The sequence below is a fragment of the Homo sapiens genome, chromosome 4 (genome assembly GCF_000001405.40).
Source record: "Homo sapiens chromosome 4, GRCh38.p14 Primary Assembly".
Taxonomy (NCBI): domain Eukaryota; kingdom Metazoa; phylum Chordata; class Mammalia; order Primates; family Hominidae; genus Homo; species Homo sapiens.
Window position 1 is genome coordinate 162,962,216 of NC_000004.12, and position 20,716 is coordinate 162,982,931.

Here is a 20,716-nt window from a genome sequence, read left to right on the forward strand (position 1 = left end):
TGTTTGAAAGATACTCCATATATCTAGGTTATTACAAAGTTTATTCTGTATGTGGTATGAGTTATGGGTCCAATTTTCAGCTCTTCTCCAAATGGCTACCAATTGTATTAATACCACTTATTTAAAAGTCTATTTCCTGAGGGATTTGAGGTACTTCCTTTATAATGAACTTAGTATCCATGAGTATCTATATTGACTTCTGCTTTCCTATTGATCGCTCCATCCATTTATTTTCATTACACAGTATTTTATTTGTAAAAGCTTTCAGTGTATTTTCATAACTGGCCTTAGGTATTCTTGCATGTTTGATTTTCCACATGAACTTTAGAATAAAGTTTACTAACTTTAGGGAAAAAAGTAACTTGTTGGTTTTATATACACGCACACACACACATATACATAGATATATATCTATACCTGTCTGTATTATACAGATACCTGTCTATATTATACACATGCTTATGTACTTATATATGGATATCTTTACATCTTTCAAACCTACTTTTGTGTTTTTCATGTGTGTTTTAAAGCACTCCTTCAACAAGTTTTGCCACTGTTGAGTTTATTTCTAAGTATTTTGTCCTGTTATTGTAAATACAACATATTCTTCCACTGTATATTTTAACTGGTTACTATTAATAAGTATGAAAGCTATTATAAATATTGGATGTTAATTTCATATCTTGCTCCTTTACTGCATTCTTTTATTGTTTATATAAGCTTTAACATTGATCCTGTTCAGCTTCTCAGATTTTCTTGATTGGGTTAACTTGTGGTTTGTCCAACTTGTTAAATTTTTTTCAAAGAGCCAATCAGCATTTTTACTCTTTTTGTTTTTACTATTTTGTGTTTCCTTTTTGGTAATTTTCATGTTAATCTTTGATAGTTCCTTTGTTCTGTTCCATTTTAATTTACTCTATTTTTTTCTAAATTTTTGTTTGGTATTTTATTCACTTTTTCACCTTAATCACATTGATATAAATATTTAAGACTATAACATTTTCCCAGATTACTGCATTAGTTATATCCACTGACATGTTTAATATAGAAATTCTGCGATTTCAGTTGACATCTGCTCTTTTTTTTCAAAAGCTGTTAAGTAATTGGTTTGTTTTGTTTTCAATTCCCAAATGTTATGTGAAATAACATTTTGGGAATTATTTCTTATTTTGTAGTAAAGTTATAATTTTATTGAATTTTAATTATTGAGTGTTATATATTACCTCTACTTGGAATTTAACAATTTAGTTTTATTTGTAAACTAATGTCGAATTAAGTTTTCACAAATGTCCTATGGGTATTTGAATGGAAGGTGTATTTTCTATTATTAAAATATAAAATTTACTTATAGGATTAATCTTAGTGATTATTTGCCTTACTCTTAAATTATATAGTTATAACTAATTATAACTTTACTTACTTCTTATCCGCTTGACCTGACTTGGATTAAGAATGCATTGTTGAAATCTAATATTAATGTGTTTCTGTTTATTTCTCTTGCGTTTCTAGTATTTCTGTGTTAAGAAGGCAATCTTCAGTGTTGTTTAGTGTATAGATATTCCTTTTATATATTCATTATTAATTATGGCCTTTAACATGATGAGTGCCCTTCTTGGTCTCATTTTGTTTTTAGGCCTAAATTCAACTATGTCCATATTAACATTGCAACAGCTAGTTTCTTATTGTTTGCATTTGCCTGATAAATTTTTTTCTTTCCCTTTGTATTTCGTTCTTCTGATTCACTTTGTTTAAGTATGTCTTTTATATACTGCATAGAGTAGGATTTGCAATGTGAGCCAACCTAAAAATAATTTCATTTAACATGTGAGACAAGCATATATATAAAACAATTGATATAAATGATGTTTTATTCTCAACTGTTTCATTTATATTATAATGTGTCTTATTCCCACTATAAAATATGTTTCCTCAGGTCTTTCTTTTTTTTTTTTTGAGACGGAGTCTCACTCTGTCGCCCAAGCTGGAGCGCAGTGCCGTGATCTCGCCCAGGCTGGAGCGCAGTGCTGTGATCTCAGCTCACTGCAACCTCTGCTGCCGGGGTCAAGAGATTCTTCTGCCTCAGCCCCCTGAGTAGCCGGGATTGCAGGCACCTACCACCATGCCCGGCTAATTTTTGTAGTTTTTTGGTTTTTTTTTTTAGTAGAGACTGGCTTTCACCATGTTGATCCGGCTGGTCTCTAACTCCTGACTCCGTGATCCACCCACCTTGGCCTCCCAAAGTGCTGGGATTACAGTAGGCGTAAGCAACTGCGCCCGGCCAGCTCTTTTTATTTTTAATTACAGGCGTAAGCCACTGCGCCCAGCCAGGTATTTTTATTTTTAATCTATTTTGTTACTGAGTAAGATTTATATTTTTTGTTCTAGGGGTAACATTCATGCAAATAACTTTGTATAATGTTAATAATCCTTTTATTCTTTTATTAGGCTTCTGATATCCTTTGATTCTCAAATATTCTCTCTGCACAGACGTTAATGAGTAGATTTTACTCTCCTCTTTCTCTCATTTTTCCTTGTAAAAAGAACAACAATTTTTTGATGTTTTTTGCCGCTCTCTCTCTTAGTCCATAACATTTATATACTATTTTTCTATGTATAATCCTACCATTTTTTAAATCTTAGATCTTCTATTAAGTATATTCAGTTTACCATGTCCAATTTTCCTAATCATTTCTTAGGTTGGTGAAGTTTGTCCTTTAATAGAGTCCTTGCAAAGGGCTTATAAGTACAACAATCCTTAGTTTTGTTTAGATGTTTGCCTGCTTACTATTATCCTTGTATAGTCTAGAAACGTCAAGGAGCACTTGAACAGATTTAAAATCCTTGTCTCACACTTACTTTCTTTGGATTTCCAGAATATTTTCTTTCTTTTTGTCTTCCTTTGTTTGTTGCTAATGAGAAGTTTGAGTGAAACTGATTTTTCTTTTCTCTGGAAGAATTTTTTTTTCCTTTGGTACCCTGAAAATATTTTATTTATACCTGCAGTCCAAAAGTTCCTCTAGTCTACATTTGAAAGCTGACTTTTCTGGTTAATTTTTCACAAGTGTATGGTGGTAAAATATAGACTTGTATCTTGTTTATTTCTACAAACTTTTCTTGGATTATAGTTTTAAAGACTGGTGTCCCTTTTTCTTTTCTTTTTTTTTTTCTTATGTAAAAAACAAGTTTACTAGGAAAATAAAGGAATAAAGAATGGCTACACCAGGCAGAGCAGCATCTTTTTTTTCCTGAAAAACTCCAATTGTAGGTATTTTTAATCTTTCTTGATAATCTTCTGCATCAATCACATTATTACTAGTAATTTTTCTTTTAAAAAAGTTTTTTTGTTCTTACCTATTTTAATTCCCTCTTCAATAGCCCTTATTATACATATAGTCAAATATATTCTTACCTTATACTTAGATACTCACTTCTGAAATGATTTTTTTAAATTGTGTTTATTCTTAGGCTTGTTAAATTTTTATTAGATTTTTGAATATCTGAAATTGCATGTTTTAAGGATATTTCATTCATATTGGTAGAGTGTGTTACAGGTTTCATCTGTATTTTGGTTGATTTTGTGAATAATATTTTATCAACTGAAAATACTCTATTTTTACCATTAAAAATTTTAGGTGAAGAAATACCTATATTGATACTTTATTATTATATTTTAAGTTCTGGGATACATGTACAGAAGGTGCAGGTTTGTTACATAGGTATACATGTGCCATGGTGGTTTGTTTCACCCATCAACCCATCATCTACATTAGGTGATTCTAATGCTATCCATCCCCTAGCCCCCACCCCCAACTGGCCCTGGCATGTGATGTTCCCCTCCCTGTGTCCATGTGTTCTCATTGTTCAACTCCAGCTTATGAGTGAGAACATGTGGTCTTTGGCTTCCTCTTCCTATGTTACTTTGCGGAGAATGACGGTTTCCAGCTTCATCCACGTCCCTGCAAAGGACATGAACTCTTCCTTTTTCATGGCTGCATAGTATTCCATGGTGTATTTGTGCCACATTTTCTTTATCCAGTCTATAATTGATAGGCATTTGGGTTGGTTCCAAGTCTTTGCTATTGTGAATAGTGCTGCAATCAACATACATGTGCATGTGTCTTTAGAGTAGAATGATTTATAATCCTTCGTGTATATACCCAGTAATGGGATTGCTGGGTCAAATGGTATTTCTGATTATAGAGCCTTGAGGTATCACCACACTGTCTTCCACAATGGTTGAAATAATTTACACTCCCACCAACAGTGTAAAAGCATTATTATTCCTCCACATCCTCTCCAGCATCTGTTGTTTCCTGACTTTTTAATGATCGCCATTCTAATTGGGGTGAGATGGTATCTCATTGTGGTTTTGATTTGCATTTCTCTAATGACCAGTGATGATGAGCTTTTTTTCATATATGTTTTTTGGCCGCATAAATGTCTCCTTTTGAAAAGTGTCTATGCAGACCTTTCATCCACTTTTTGATGGGTTTTTTTTTTTTTTTTTTGTAAATTTGTTTAAGTTCCTTGTAGATTCTGGATATTAGCCTTTTGTCAGCCTACCTATTTTGATAATCTTTTCAATAAACCAGTTCCTGGATTCACTGATTTTTTTCTTGAAGGGTTTTTCGTGTCTCTATCTCTTCAGTTCTGCTCTGATCTTAGTTATTTCTTGTCCTCTGCTAGCCTTTGAATTTACTTGCTCTTGCTTCTCCAGTTCTCTTAATTGTGATGTTAGGGTGTCAATTTTAGATGTTTCCCATTTTCTCCTATGGGCATTTAGTGATATAAGTTTCCCTCTAAACAATGCTTTAGCAGGTGTCCCAGAGATTCTGGTACATTGTGTCCTTGTTCTCACTGGTTTCAAATAACTTATTTATTTCTGCCTTCATTTCATTATGTACCCAGTAGTCATTCTGGAGCACGTTGTTCAGTTTCCATGTAGTTGTGCAGTTTTGAGTGAGTTTCTTAATCCTGAGTTCTAATTTGATTGCATTGTGGTCTGAGACATTGTTTGTTATGATTTCTGTTTTTTTTAGCATTTGCTGAGGAGTGTTTTACTTCCAATTATGTAGTCAATTTTAGAATAACTGCAATGTGGTGCTGAGAAGAATGTATATTCTGTTGATTTGGGGTGGAGAGTTCTGTAGATGTCTATTAGGTCCGCTTGGTCCAGAGCTGAGTTCAAGTCCTGAATATCCTTGTTAATTTTCTGTCTCGTTGATCTGTCTAATATTGACAGTGGGGTGTTAAAGTTTCTCACTATTATTGTGTGAGAGTCAAAGTCTCTTTGTAGGTTTCTAAGAACTACTTGCTTTATGAATCTGAGTGCTCCTGCATTGAGTGCACACATATTTAGGATAGTTAGCTCTTCTTGTTGGGTTGATCCCTTTACTGTTATGGAAAGCCCTTCTTTGTCCTTTTTGATCTTTGTTGGTTTAAAGTCTGTTTTATCAAAGACTAGGATTGCTACCCCTGCTTTTCTTTTTGCTTTCTATTTGCTTGGTAAATCTTCCTCCATCCCTTTATTTTAGCCTATGCGTGTCTTTGCACATGAGATGGGTCTTCTGAATACAGCACACCAATGGGTCTTGACTCTTTATTCAATTTTCCAGTCTGTGCCTTTCAACTGGGGCATTTAGCTTGTTTACATTTAAGGTTAATATTGTTATGTGTGAATTTGATTCTATCATTATGATGCTAGCTGGTAATTTCGCCCATTAGTTGATGCAGTTCCTTCATAGTGTTGATGGTTTTTGCAATTTGGTATGTTTTTGCAGTGGTTGGTACCAGTTTTCCTTTCCATATTTAGTGGTTCTTTCAGGAGCTCTTGTAAGGCAGGCTTGGAGGTGACAAAATCTCTCAGAATTTATTTGTCTGTAAGGGATTTTATTTCTCCTTTGCTTATGAAGCTTAGTTGGGCTGGATATGAAATTCTGGGTTCAAAATTCTTTCCTTTAAGAATGTTGAATATTGGCCCCCACTCTCTTCTGGCTTGTAGGGTTTCTGCAGAGAGATCTGCTGTCAGTTTGATGGGTTTTCCTTTGTAGGTAATCCTACCTTTCTCTCTGGCTGTCCTTAACATTTTTTCCTTTATTTCAACCTTGGTGAATCTGACAATTATGTGTCCTAGGGTTGCTCTTCTCGAGGGGTATCTTTGTGATGGTGTCTGTATTTCCTGAATTTGAATGTTGGCCTGTCTTGCTAGTCTGGGAAAGTTCTCCTGGATAATATCCTGAAGAGTTTTCCAGCTTGGTTCCATTCTCCCCGTCACTTTCAGGTACACCAATCAAACATATGTTTGGTTTTTTCACATACCCCATATTTCTTGGAGGCTTTGTTTCTTTTCATTCTTTTTCTCTAATCTTGTCTTCACGCTTCATTTCATTAAGCTGATCTTCAATCTTTGATATCCTTTCTTCCGCTTGATCAATTCGACTATTGATACTTGTGTATGCTTCATGAAGTTCTTGTGCTGTGTTCTTCAGCTCCATCAGGTCATTTATGCTCTTCTCTAAATTGGTTATTCTATTGAGCAATTCCTCTAATCTTTTTCAAGGTTCTTAGCTTCTTTGCATTGAGTTAGAACATGCCCCTTTAGCTTGGAGAAATTTTTTTATTACCCACCTTCTGAAGCCTACTTCTGTCAATTCGTCAAACTCATTCTCTGTCCAGTTTTGTTCCCTTGCTGGTGAGGAGTCGTGATCCTTTGGAGAATAAGAGATTTTCTGGTTTTTGGAATTTTCAGCCTTTTTGTTCTGGTTTTCCCTCATCTTTGGGTATTTATTTACCTTTGGTCTTTGCTGTTGGTGACCCTCAGATGGAGGTTTTGCATTGTCATCCTTTCTGTTGATGTTGATGCTATTGCTTTCTGTTCATTGGTTTTCCTTCTAATACTCAGGGCCCTCTGCTGCAGGTCTGCTGGAGTTGGCAGGGGGTCCAATCCAGACCCTGTTTGCCTGGATATCACCAGGGGAGGCTGCTGAACTGCAAAGATTGCTGCCTGCTCCTTCCTTTGGAAGCTTTGTCCCAGACAGGCACCTCCCAGATGCCACCTGGAGCTCTCTTGTATGAGGTATCAGTCGACCCCTGCTGGGAGGTAATGCCCTATCAGGAGGCACGGGGGTCAGGGACCCACTTTACGAGGCAGTCTGTCCCTAAGCAGAGCTTGAGCGCTGTGCTGGGAGATCCGCTGCTCTCTTCAGATCCAGCAGGCAGAAACGTTTGTCCGCTGAAGCTGCGCCCATAGCCACCCCTTCCCCCAGGTGCTCTGTCCCAGGGAGATGGAAGTTTTATCTATAAGCCCCTGACTGGGGCTGCTTCCTTTCCTTGAGAGATGCCCTGCCCCAAGAAGAGGAGTCAGAGAGGTAGTCCAGCTACAGTGGCTTTGCTGAGCTGCGGTGGGCTCTGCCCAGTCCCAACTTCCTGGTGGCTTTGTTTGCACTGTGAGGGGAAAACCTCCTAATCAAGCCTTAGTAATGGGGGACGCCCCTCCCGCCACCAAGCTTGAGTGTCCCTGATCAACTTCAGACTGCTGTGCTGGCAGCGAGAATTTCGAGAATTTCAAGCCAGTTGACCTTAGCTTGCTGGGCTTTGTAGGAGTGGGATCTGCTGAGCTAGACCACTTGGCTCCCTGACTTCAGCCCCCTTTCCCAGGAAGTGAACGGTTCTGTCTCACTGATGTTTCAGGTGTCACTGGGGTATGAAAATAAACTCCTGCAGCTAGTTCTGTGTCTGCCCAAATGGCTGCCCAGTTTTGTGCTTGAAACCCAGGGGCCTGGTGGTGTAGGCACCTGAGGGAATCTCCCAGTCTGCGGGTTGCAAAGACTGTGGGAAAAGCATAGTATCTGGGCTGGAATGCACCGTTCCTCATGGCACAGCCCCTCAAGGCTTTCCTTGGGTAAAGGAGGGAGTTCCCCAACCCCTTGCACTTCCCAGGTGAGCCGACGGCCCACCCTGCTTCTGCTGGCCCTCCATGGGCTGCACTCACTGTCTAATCAGTCCCAATGAGATGAGCTGAGTACCTCAGTTGGAAATGCAGAAATCACTTGCCTTCTGCATTGATCTCTCTGGGAGCTGCAGACTGGAGCTGTTGCTATTCGGCCATCTTGCCAGCCACCAATACTTTTATGATACTTTTAAATTTACATTAGTTCTAACATATTAAATTTATTATTATTATAATTGAGATCAAATTATAATTTACCCTGTGAAAAACTTATTTTTTCTTCTTGTTTTTTTATCATTATAAAAGTTTAAAATAAAGTAAATTGTATCTTATCTGGGTCTTATTTGTAAATGTCAAAAAGAAATTCTGTTTTATTTCCTAGCAAATAATTTTCCATGCATTTCTTTAGAGTCTTACAATTTTATTAAATGTGCACGATTTTAAAATAATGGAGAGCCCTAACTAACATTTTTATTTGCATTATTGAGTTTATATATTTTATAATCTTAATACTAGTCTGATATAGCTAATTGTTTAAGTTGGTAACAATTGGTTTCACAGGCTTCTCTACCCTTTAATTATAATCACAATGAAAGCTGCATAGCTTTTACCTCCAAAATGAGTTTTTATCTCATCATAGAGAATTGTCGGGAAGCCATTATGCTTAGAATATAATTATTCTCAAATGAATAAGATTCCAACAGTCAATTATGATTGTGAGGCTTGAAGTAACTATGCTAATGAAACTTTTAGCCTTTTTCAGAAGCATAAAAGCTTCCAAGAGATTCGTTTGAATTTTTTTCTCTTTTAATTATCTCCATTTATAAATAAAGGACTGACAGAATATAAAAGAAAGTTTGTATTTTTAAAGACAATCAAAATAAAGCACCTTCTCTTCTCACTGAACTAAGTTTTAAAGCAAAATAAGCTATTATCTGGTAATTACCAAAAGAGCAGGAGACAAATAATAAACCTTGGAATCAGGAAGGTTTTTGAAGCATTTGATTAATTCAGATTCTTTTAGAAAGTGTAAGATAATAGTCCATGAATTTACATGAGTATTACTCTCTCATATATCATCAGTAGACAAGATGAGAGCTATTTGGAGATATATATATATATACACATATATATAACAATCTGAATAGGGACAGGTGAAGAGCATATCTGACCTTCACAAGCATGAGAATGTAAACCCATTCATGTGAATGTGACTCTAATACGTATTTAAAATCTAATTTAAATTATAATTTTAGAGAGTTTGATAGATAAGCATGAGTTATCAATCATTAATTTTAGGAAACAGAACTACCATAGACTTTCTCATTGATCCTAAACTTGTATGTCATTTTAGAGCCATTATGAAAGCTATATAATTAAAATATCTGAAGAATAACTAATACCATACATTAATAGCTGATAACCATACATTTTTAAATTCTGTAAGTTTTCTAAGCAGTAATATAAAAACACAAATAAAAAACAAACTATGAAATAAGAATAACTTTCAATAGGAGAAATTGTAAAACTAGTTAGTTTTAACAAATGTTTTCAAAGAGGTGTGTCTATATCCATCTTATTGTTTTTATAACAATGTTTATATAAGTGTTTATTAAGTTTTATTGGTTTAACCAAGGCCCAATTAAACAAATGTATTTTTAAAAAGGGAAGATTTTAAATTATTCTAGATGTTTCTATGTAAATAATCTGAGGCCTATTAGAAGAAAATTACATATTTAATCTATTTCAGTCATCTTTACACAAAAGGAACTCATATGATTGAAATTACCATTTATAATAATTGCTTGTAGGTTGTTTATTTTAGAATCAAAAACAAGAAACCTGATCTTTGGGAGAACATTTTCTATGTTAAGTAGCCCCATATCTCTCCATCTCCAAAATGGGAATTAGGTAATGCTGCTGTTTCCACAAACATCCTTTCTAGTAATGAATCAACCATTTCAATAATTTTACTTAAGTATTCTTTCCTATTGCCTACATTTTTACATCAGTTGTTTCAATGTTCTATATTTTTAAAAGGTTTTTATTTAATTGATCTTTCCTGATAGTTATTGTATTACTAAAACCATTTTTCATGTGTTGATGAAAATTGTATTTTCAGATAATCTTCTCAACGTCAAACAAATTCTCTAATTTAATAGAAAAAAAAACAAGCAGAAGCAGAAGAAGAAGAGGAGGGACAAAAAAGAAAGTAAATCCTACTTCTTTGAAGTTTATGTTATTCGACTAAATTGATTCATATCTTCCCCTCTACAATTACTCAAGTCATCAAGCCATTGCTTTTGGTGATTACTGTATCCATGCTAATAACTCATTCCACACCTTGCCCTCTTGGTTTCTGGCCTTTTTCATTTCCTTCAATATTTCCTCCACTCCAATACAGCTACCTACTCTCATGACTATATCCTAGACCATATTGTCACAAACAACATTATCACTTCTGAAATCTTTTTGAACATTGTATTCTAAAAACATCGCCTATATTTCTGGTTCATAGCTCTGCTTTTTCTCTGCTTTAAATCTTTGACCTCATTATGTCAGAGGTGTTTGAACCAGAGCGACTCCATCTTAACTAGTGGCTGGATAAAACAAGGCTGAGACCTACTGGGCTGCATTCCCAGGAGGATAGGGAATTCTTAGTCACAGGATGAGATAGGAGGTCAGCACAAGATACAGTTCACAAAGACCTTGCTGATAAAACAGGTTGCTGTAAAGAAGCCAGCCAAAACCCACCAAAAAACCAAGATAGCAGCAAGAGTGACCTCTGGTCCTTGCTGCTCATTATATGCTAATTCTAATGCATTCGTATGATAAAAGACACTCCCACCAGCACCTTGACAGATTGCAAATGCCATGGAAACATTGGGAAGTTACCGTATATAGTCTACAAAGGGGAGGAACCCTATTGCCCACCCTTTTCTGGAAAACTCATGAGTAATCTATCCCTTGTTTAGCATATAATTCAGAAATAACCATAAAAATAGGCAGCCAGCAGCCCTCAGGGCTGCTGCGTCTATGGAGTAGCCATTCTTTTATTCCTTTACCTTCCTAATAAACTTGCTTTCACTTTCACAAATTACAAATGTTGCTCATACTTACTCTATAATCCTACCACACTTCTTTAGTGAGATCAGTTTTTCATGTTTAAAAATGTTTATTTCATATGGTATTCTCTCACACTATCAATGTCTACTAATGCATTTTCAAACTCAATTGATTACTCCATTTCCTTAAGAAAATAAGTCATCAAACAAAAACTCAATTATCTTCATGCAGCAAATCTATAATGTATCTGTATTTTTATTCATCTTTTATATTGTCAAGTAAAAAAATCAACTTAGGTAAAGCTAGGCTTTATTCAAAAGGGATTATTATGATAAGTGAAGGGAGAGTATTGTAATAGGGAGAAGGTTCAGGCCATGAGATCTGCAAGAATCTAAAAGGTCAGGGAGAATAGAATTTTATTTTATAAAGGTTAGAAAAAAGCTTGGAAATAACTAGGTGTGAGGGAGTGGGCGTGATTGCAATGAGACAGTTGATCAAGGAATGTCTTTCCTTTTAGTCAGCTAATTCTCAGGAGTGGCCAACACAGAAGGGTTGTTTGATGGCTCAGGGTGAGGATAGGTCAAAATCAGGGTCCTGGAGAAGGAGAAAAGCAAATTTAGTCAAATCAGCTAATAAGCAGTTTATTTTAACTGATCAGGAGAGACAAACAGTTCAACTAATCTTTTATGAGGCAAATAGAAATTCAGATGGTCTGTGTCTGGCCTTATCATAGGTAAACAAGAGGGACATGATGAGTCTCATCTAAGCCATAAGGGGATGGGTTGTTTCTTGCAGTATGCCATCTCCCAAAATGCAAAAGTATGAAGGATTTTTGTAACCATCGTTGTTTTCCAGTAGCATAGGACTCTGGAAAAGTTCAATAGTGTCAGTTATATTTGCATCTATTAGTATAGAAGTGTCTTAAACTCATTTGCTTGTGCTCTTATCAACATTCTCTTTCTATCTACTAAAGATTCCATTGATTACCCTTTCTCTCCTTCTTCATAAAGATCTCCCTCTCTACTAGATTATTTCTGTAAACTCACAGTCATGCCCACATATATCCAATCTGAAAACAAGTCAAGGCAAACAAACAAACTCCTCATCTGTCTTTGGCTATGTCCATATTTCTCTTCTCCCCTGACCATGCAGGCTACCTGCGTCAACTCATATTCAATTTTGGACACTCTAAAATATGGAGTTCATCCTTCTCCTTCTCTTGAAATAAATACTGACCTCCACATTACCATTTCTAATGGATATTTTTATTTCCTCATCTTTCTGTAACTCTCAGCAGGATTGGACACAGGGGACCACTCCTTTTATCTTGAAATACTGTTTATCTCACTTTCCAGTTTATCACACTTTCATATATTTTCTCCAGCACCTCACTGGAAGTTCTTTTTCACTTTCCACAGTCAACTCCTCTTCTACACAATTTCCAAATACTACCATCTTCAGGCATTTTTCTAGGCCCTTTTTCACTGTCTAATTGCTCCTTGTGTGACCTCATCCATTCCCAAGGTTTTAAATGCCTTCTGTATCCCATTGATTTCAAATTTGTACTTCAATCAAGATGTCTTCTTCTGAGAGCTCTAGACTCATAAACACAACTTTCAAATTGACATCTCTATTTGGATATCAGAGGTTAAGAGAACTTCTTCAACAATGTGACCCAGTTCTGCTGCTTCTGCTAAGACCTTTCAGATATCTTGACTACCATTGTGCCACCACAGGCTCCAAAGATTGAGACATTGTTTTCAAGATCATTCTAATACTTAATTTATAAAATATTGTTGATGACCATAAGTGAAAGGTCATCATAGGCATCCCTGATACTACTCTTTTAACCCTCAGTTGAGAGAACCATGCTACATACTCTGCCATAGGATGCCTGCTGTGTGATTTTATTCATCCAGTCAAGTAGGATGTCCTAAAAAAAGAATCTAGTGTGAGAACTAAAAGTTGTCAGAAAATTAATGATTTGAGACTCTCTCCACTAAATTGTGGCAGTACCCAAATTGTTATCACAAATGACACTTTTTCTTTTTCCTAATTACATCATCATAGACATGAGAGTGAGTGTGTTTGTTTATCTGAGACTAAAGACTTCTAATTTTAGGATTTGTAGATTGTAGACATTGTGAACCCTGAAAATCTGAGACAGGCCTCAGTTAATTTAGAAAGTTTATTTTGCCAAAGTTGAGAATGTGTGCCCATGACACAGCCTTAGGTGGTCCTGACAACATGGGTCCAATGTGGTCAGAGCACAATTTGGTTTTATGTATTCTAGGGAGACATGAGATATCAATCAACATATGCAAGATGAACACTGATTCCATCTGGAAGGGCGGGACAACTTGAAGCAAAGGCAGGAAGACTTGAAGCCAGAAGGAGGCTTCCAGATCATAGGTAGATAAGAGACCAATGGTTTCATTCTTCTGAGTTTCTGATAAGCCTCTCCAAAGGAGGCAATCAGATATGCATTTATCTCAGTGAACAGAGGGATGACTTTGAATAGAATGGGAGGCACGTTGGCCCTAAGCAATTCCCAGCTTGACTTTTCCCTTTAGCTTATGGATTTCGTGGCCCCAAGATTTATTTTCCTTTCACAACATGTGTTCCTAGATGTAACTTTGTTTGATATTATTGTCTAATATCTAACAGGCATCACAAGCCTAAATGGGTGTAAAGAAAGAAAATTCTCAATTTCCTGTTACAAATATGGTCCCTCTCACAGTTTTCTCAGTCTCAATAATTATTACAACTATCTAATTCATCTACCCAATTAATAAATATCAATATATGGAGGCCATTCTCAATAAATTAATTTCTCTTTTCACATCCAGTTCATCAGCAACTCATGTCATCTTTATCTAAAAAATACATCTCTACCTCTCTTTGTAATTGCTCTCCTAAAAATGATTACCTTAGTGGTCCTGTAAGGCCATCTTTTTGATGTTTTTCATTGCTGTTGTTTGTTGTTTTCTTTTTTTTTTCTTCTTTTTTTTTTTTTCTGAGACAGAGTATTGCTCTGTCACCCAGGCTGGATTGCAGTGGGGCAATCTCAGCTCACTGCAACCTCTGCTTCCCTGGTTCAAGCGATTCTCCTGCCTCAGCCTCCCAAGTAGCTGGGATTACAGGTGCCCACCACCACACCTGGCCAATTTTTGTATTTTTAGTAGAGACGGGGTTTCACCATGTTGGCCAGGCTGGAATCAAACTCCTGACCTCAGGTGATCCACCTACCTCGGCCTCCCAAAGTACTGAGATTACAGTGCCTGGCCCTTTTGATGTTCAGACAGGCACCTTGTCTTCCTCTATAACATTCCCCACACAACATACGGATAAATTTTTAAACATAAATTAGATATGTCAAAAATATGCAATTGCCTAGAAAAAACTCAAATTTATCTGTAAGGACCAATCTGGCCTCTGCTTAATATTTCAATTACATCTCATGTCATTCATTTATTTTAATTATGTTCTAATTGTATTTATTTAACAATAATTACTGAGCCGCTGCTTGGTACTTGGAACTGCTCTATCACAGTAAAAAATTTATACTCTATTAATGCTTATATATTATTCCAGAAGACAGTACACAAAATCAGTTAAGTAAATCATAGAAGATATTAGAAAATGATAATTTCTATAAAGGGAAAGTAAAGCAGAGAAGAATGACAGAGAGTCTGTGGAATGGGGTGGTAAGTTCCAAGTTCACATCACTCTTGTGCCTTTAGGATGGAAAGCTTGTCTGTCTTCTTCAACATAGGATCTCCAGTCCCAACACAGTGACTGACTCATAGGAGCTTCTTCCTAAAATCCTGGTGCTTAATAAGAACTTGTTATAAGAATAAAATGCCCATGATCACTACAAGTTGTTGATTCTCCCTGAAAAAAAAATTTAATAGTATAGAATATTCCACTTTTATAAGCAGGTAATATTTTAAATGGCAAGAGGATAAACTTTTAAAACACCATAGTGATATTTTGTTTGCTCATTAGTTTTTTTCTGAATGCTTCGAGTTTTAACCACATTTGACCTATTTTTAAGAAAAAAATCAAATCAGGTCAATGACATTTATACTAGAAATCTAAAATATGTATTTTATTCATATATGAAAAATAGAAATGCGTTTCTTCAAAATTAAATAACTGATTCTATTATGAGAGTCTTAAATTTTTTTTATTTTTAAGCCATGTTTATGTTCTATTACTTGAAGGGAATATTTTGTGTTCAAATGGGGAAAGAGTAAAGTAAAAATTTATAATCACATATTATATTATACTTTAATTTGTCTTTACTTATGAGATTAACATATCAATCTTTAATAAGAAAAATTAATTTCTTGGCTGTCATGAACTGTATGTCCTCAAGTGTTAAATCTCTGGGAGCTCAAAGTTGTGTCTGTATAATGATAAATGCAGTCAATTAGGTTGTCAATTCTTATCAATGAATCACTACATTTAAAAAATAAACAAGTTGTTAATAAAATGTAATGAATCTCTCATCATCTGGTTTAATTGTCTCATTTAGTAAAAAACATTAAAATTAGGAAGCATTTGAATTTCTCTTTTTGAAATATCTATATTAATTGTTAACATATTATGAATGATATAATAGTATTTTCAGTAATGTCTTCATAATACCGTGAATCAGCTGTAGCAATATAGGATGTGTTCTACTCATGGTTGAATTGACTGAGCTGTACCCACATGGCACCCAGTCAAAACGAATTCTGACTCAATTTTCAAATGTGTACAAATATATTTTCCTCAGAAAGTATAGCTAAATTGGGAGGGTTTGGGCATGCATTCAACTGACAAAGTTTGCACATAGTTGCAAGCAAAATTTCAAAAAAGTGACTGAAGCACCAATCAAAATGCCAAGGTAGAAAGCTAGCAATGAAACTTTTTGAAAGTGTTGAATAAGTGAACATGATTTTTTTAAGACAGAAAGTGAACAATTTATATTTGTAGCTTAGAAGCTTGGGTTCAGCAAAATCTAGAATTTACACATTTGAAGAATCATCTGTGGTTTTCTTATGATTCGGTGGTGTTGACATTTATATCATTTGCCTTACTTCTGTCTATTGGTTCATTGGTCTAGCCCTTCTTACTCCCTCCCAATTTTGTGTAAATTCCTCCCCTTTAGGTTTTACTTTAACAAGCTTATAACCTTTTTCCTATTTTTAGATAGTAAGGCGTAGCTGCTGAAAATTGATGAAGTTAAATAACACTGCTCACTTTGAAGTCTAGCATCTTATTAGAGCTGTTACAGAGACTGTATCAGCTTCCCTGAGGTTTGAGAAAGACAATGCCTTGATGGCCACTGCTCTATTGATTACACAGCTGGATCCATTCATTATCTGGTCTCTTTCCTTTTCTGAAATTAGTCCCTAGAGAATGTGACTGGAAGACACAGACACAGTAAGTACAAGTTATTGGTCTCATTACTGGAACCCGTAGAAAATGTGAAAATCCTTTGGGACTTTTTCAGTCCCAAAACTGACATGAGAAATCCTGACCTCATTGGCCTTAGACATGTTTTACTCTTTAGTTATTTATATAGCTTTTCATTGCTTAGAGAGTAAAACTCAAACTCTTTAAGCCTAGTACAGAAGGCTCTCTATTTACCAACCTTTCCTTCCATTTTCTTACATGCACCCTTGATCCTTATAGGCTGTTGGAACCCTCCCTCCCTTTCATAATTTGCACCTGCTGTTCAGTGATTCAAAATATCATTTGAAAAGTAGAACATGTTGTTAATGATTTATTGTTCCAGGTCACCCTTTTCATTATTGCCTCTGGAATACAAATTAGATATACCCTTTCCTCTGGTATCCCAAACCATGACATCAGAATAATCATCCTCTAATTAGACAAAACATAAGAAAACAGGAATATTGCTTCTCCTTCAATTTCTGATCAGCCACAAACATAGACCATGTACTCTAAATTCTATGCATTAATATCTCTCACATGTCATTACCAAAGAGACCTTCATTTTCTTTTTACTGTGCTTATACCTCTGAAGGCAAATATCTATATCCCCTGCAATAGCAAAATATTTGACACACCTAAGAGTTCTGTAAATGCTTGTAGAACAAGTGAATGAACAAAATGAATGCCAGTACTCACTGTTGCAAGTAACTAATGGAAAAACTAGAATTTACTGGAGGCATACTAAGTAATTTATAGAACCTGTGGAAGGAATGACGCAAGGCCTTAGGCTAGAACTGGAACTGAGACTGCTCAGGAAGTCATCTTTTTGCTTAATCTCTACTTATTTCTTCCAATATGCTTCATTTTTCTTTGTCCCTGATTCTTTCTTTCCCTTTCTTCCTCCTCTGGCTCTCCTTCTAGCATAGATTTTTTTTTTTTTTTTTTTTTTGAAGGAGTCTTGCTCTGTCGCCCAGGCTGGAGTGCACTGGCGCGATCTTGGCTCACTGCAAGCTCCGCCTCCCGGGTTCACGCCATTCTCCTGCTGCCTCAGCCTCCCGAGTAGCTGGGACTACAGGCGCCCACCACCACGCCCAGCTAATTTTTTGTATTTTTAGTAGAGGTGGGGTTTCACCGTGTTAGCCAGGATGGTCTCGATCTCCTGACCTCGTGATCCACCCGCCTCGGCCTCCCAAAGTGCTGGGATTACAGGCGTGAAGATTTTTTTGCTTATCTCATCGACGTGCCTGTAACTCTCTAACTGACCTTTCACAACCTACATTGACAAATATAGAAACTGATTTGTCCATGTTAGGTCAAGTTTTCATCCCAGAAATAAACAGCTATGGTCAAAGATTCAGATGTACATGATACAAATATATTTGTAGTTATGTGGCTGGGGGAAGTACACAAAGCTTCCATAGCTCTCTGAGCAGCTACCCTCCCAATATCTTGATGTTTTCATCCAGAAGCTCTCCAACCCCACCCTTCAGAGATTTTTATGGATATTTCATTCTATAAGCATAATTGATTAAATCATTGGCCATTGATGATTAATTCAATCTCTAGCCCCTCTTCCCTCCTCAGAGGTAGGCAGGGGTAGGGAGGGAGGAAGAGTTGAAAGTTCCAGCCCTCTAATCATACATTTGGTTCCTCTGGCAACCAGCCCCCATCCTGAAGCTATTTAAGGGCTCACAAAAAGTCACCTTATTAGCATAAACTCAGGTACAAGCGTTTTAGAAATTCTATATCAGGAATGAGGACAGAGTAAGATAATTATTTAATATTTAATATTTGGTTTATTAAATCAATTGATTTTTTTAATCCAAGAAAAACAGCAGAAAACAGGAGGCTACTCTTGTTTATAAAATTCCTTAAGGAGAGAAGCATCTGCTGAAGCTAGAAGAAAGAAATGTAGGAGATAAATGAAGAAACAAGTTATAAAAATACAATTTACAATGCTAACAAACGAAAGTTAACTGAACACCTACTAGGGCCCACTACTCTATACACTTTATGGACATGATGTCTATTCTTCCCAATGACAGTATCATGTAATTAGAAATCTCCTTAATTTAAGGGGAGGAAATTGAGGCTCAAGTAGCTTCCCTAAGGTCACATAGCCAGTAAGTGAAGAAAATGATATTCAAACATAGATCTGGGTCACACCAAAGCCTGTACAGTGTCCAGTACAATAATACATATCACTGGATTGTTGCCTACCCATTGGTGATTTACATATTCATATATGCCCTGTTCTTCAGTTTCCTAAGTCATCTATTATTCTGATTTTCCAGCAAATAATGTAACACTATAAGCATACACAGATACAAAATCTGCCACAGTAAGCACATATAGATACAAAATGCCCCATTTTTTTCTCAACAACGAGTATATTAGTTTCAAATTGCTACTATAACAAGTAGCCACAAACTTAGTGTCTCAAAATGATAAAAAAAATTATCTTACAGTTCTGAAGGTCAGAAGTTCAAAAATGAGTCTCTGAGCTAAAATCAAGGTATCAGCAGAGGACTATGTTCCTTCTGTAGGCTCTCAGGGAGAATTGATTTCTTTGTCTTTTCTAGCATTTAGAGGCCACCCGCCTTGGTTTGTGGCTTTGCCTCACTCTGACCTTTCTTTCCTCTTCACATCTCCTTCTATGATTCTGACTCTCCTGCCTCCCTCTTTCTAATAGAAACCCTTGTGATTACACTGGGCCCACCTGGATAACCCAGGATAACCTCCCCATCTCAATGTCCTTAACTTAATCACATCTCCAAAGTCCCTTGTGTCATGGAAAGTAGTATATTCACACAGTCTGAAGATTAGCGCATCACTGGTAGACCATTATTCTGCCTACTGAAATGATATGAGAGCTTTTTGTAATTAAAGCAAAAATGTTATAATAAGCCCTCATCTTTAAGAATGTGAGTAATATGCATGATGATGAAGTATACTTATTTTAGCTTGATAGTAAGAAAGAAGTAGAAAAAAATGATGGTTAGGTAATCTATTATACTTCTACATGCTTTTATAGTGAAAAAAAGTAATTGTTCTTTATTTTATGCTCTTCCTTGTTCATCTCTTTTCAAACTTTTTATGATCGTTTTTACTTGAAAATGTTGTCAGTCGAATGTGTCATTTAGTTTTGCTCCCTCCTCTTCAAGATTCAACAAGATAAAAATATAAATTTTAGTAGCAGTAAAGCTGTGGAAAGAGAAAAGTTCTACTTACTAACTCTTTCCCAAGTTGGCCTTTTCCAGACATTCACAGGTATAGCCGCTGAACAAATGGAAATCACCAGTGAAGTAGAAGCAGCACTTGCTCCAGTAGACTGACCCTGTGGCAGGAGCAGGAACAGCAAAGAGTAAGGATGATTACAAGGAGTCCGGTCCCAGGGGGAAGCAATGATCCTGGGCCACACATGCACTTGTTCATCAACTAAAAAGAGAAAATGGGGGGTAAATTAGAGCAGTTATCTCCCCAATATCCTCAAGAGGATTTGAATGCCAATTTGGGGAATCATCAGAGCCATACAGAAGGAGGAAAAGATTCTCCCTATAAGTAATATCGCTTCTATGTCCTTCTGCCCACACGTGCTTCTACTCTGAAACTGTGATAAAAGGACAGAAAGCCAAAACTCTAAAGTAAGAGGATCACAACTAACTTCGAAAGCATTTGTTGTACACTCTTCCCTGCATTGTGAAATGCACAGAAATATTGGGATAAGTGGTTTGCACCAAGAAGAGTGAACAAAATGGAGCTATAAGAGCACCGTCTTCATCTGTTCTTGTGACTATAACTAAGTACCATAGACAAGGTGGCTTATAAACAACAGGAATTTGTTACTCAGAGTTCTGGAGGTCAGAAGTCTGAGATCAGGGTGCCAACGTGGTTGGGTTCTGGTGAGGTCCCTCTTCCAGATTGCAGACTGCTATCTTCTGTTTACACATGGCAGAAAGACAGAGAGAGAAATTGGGTCTCTTTTATAAGGGCACTAATTCTATTCATGAGGGCTCCTTCCTTACGACCTAATCACATCCCAAAGGCCCCACTTCCTAGTATCATCACAATGGGGAATAGGATTTCAATGTAGGAACTGGGGGAAAACACAAACATTCAGTCCATGGCAAGCACCAAGAGTAGCTAGGATATTCAACTTTGTCTGTACTCAGGAAGAGCCCACAGGAATGGTATGCAAAAGGAGGTGAAGATCATGAGGAATACAAATAATCTTGCCTTGAGATACAGAGTCTC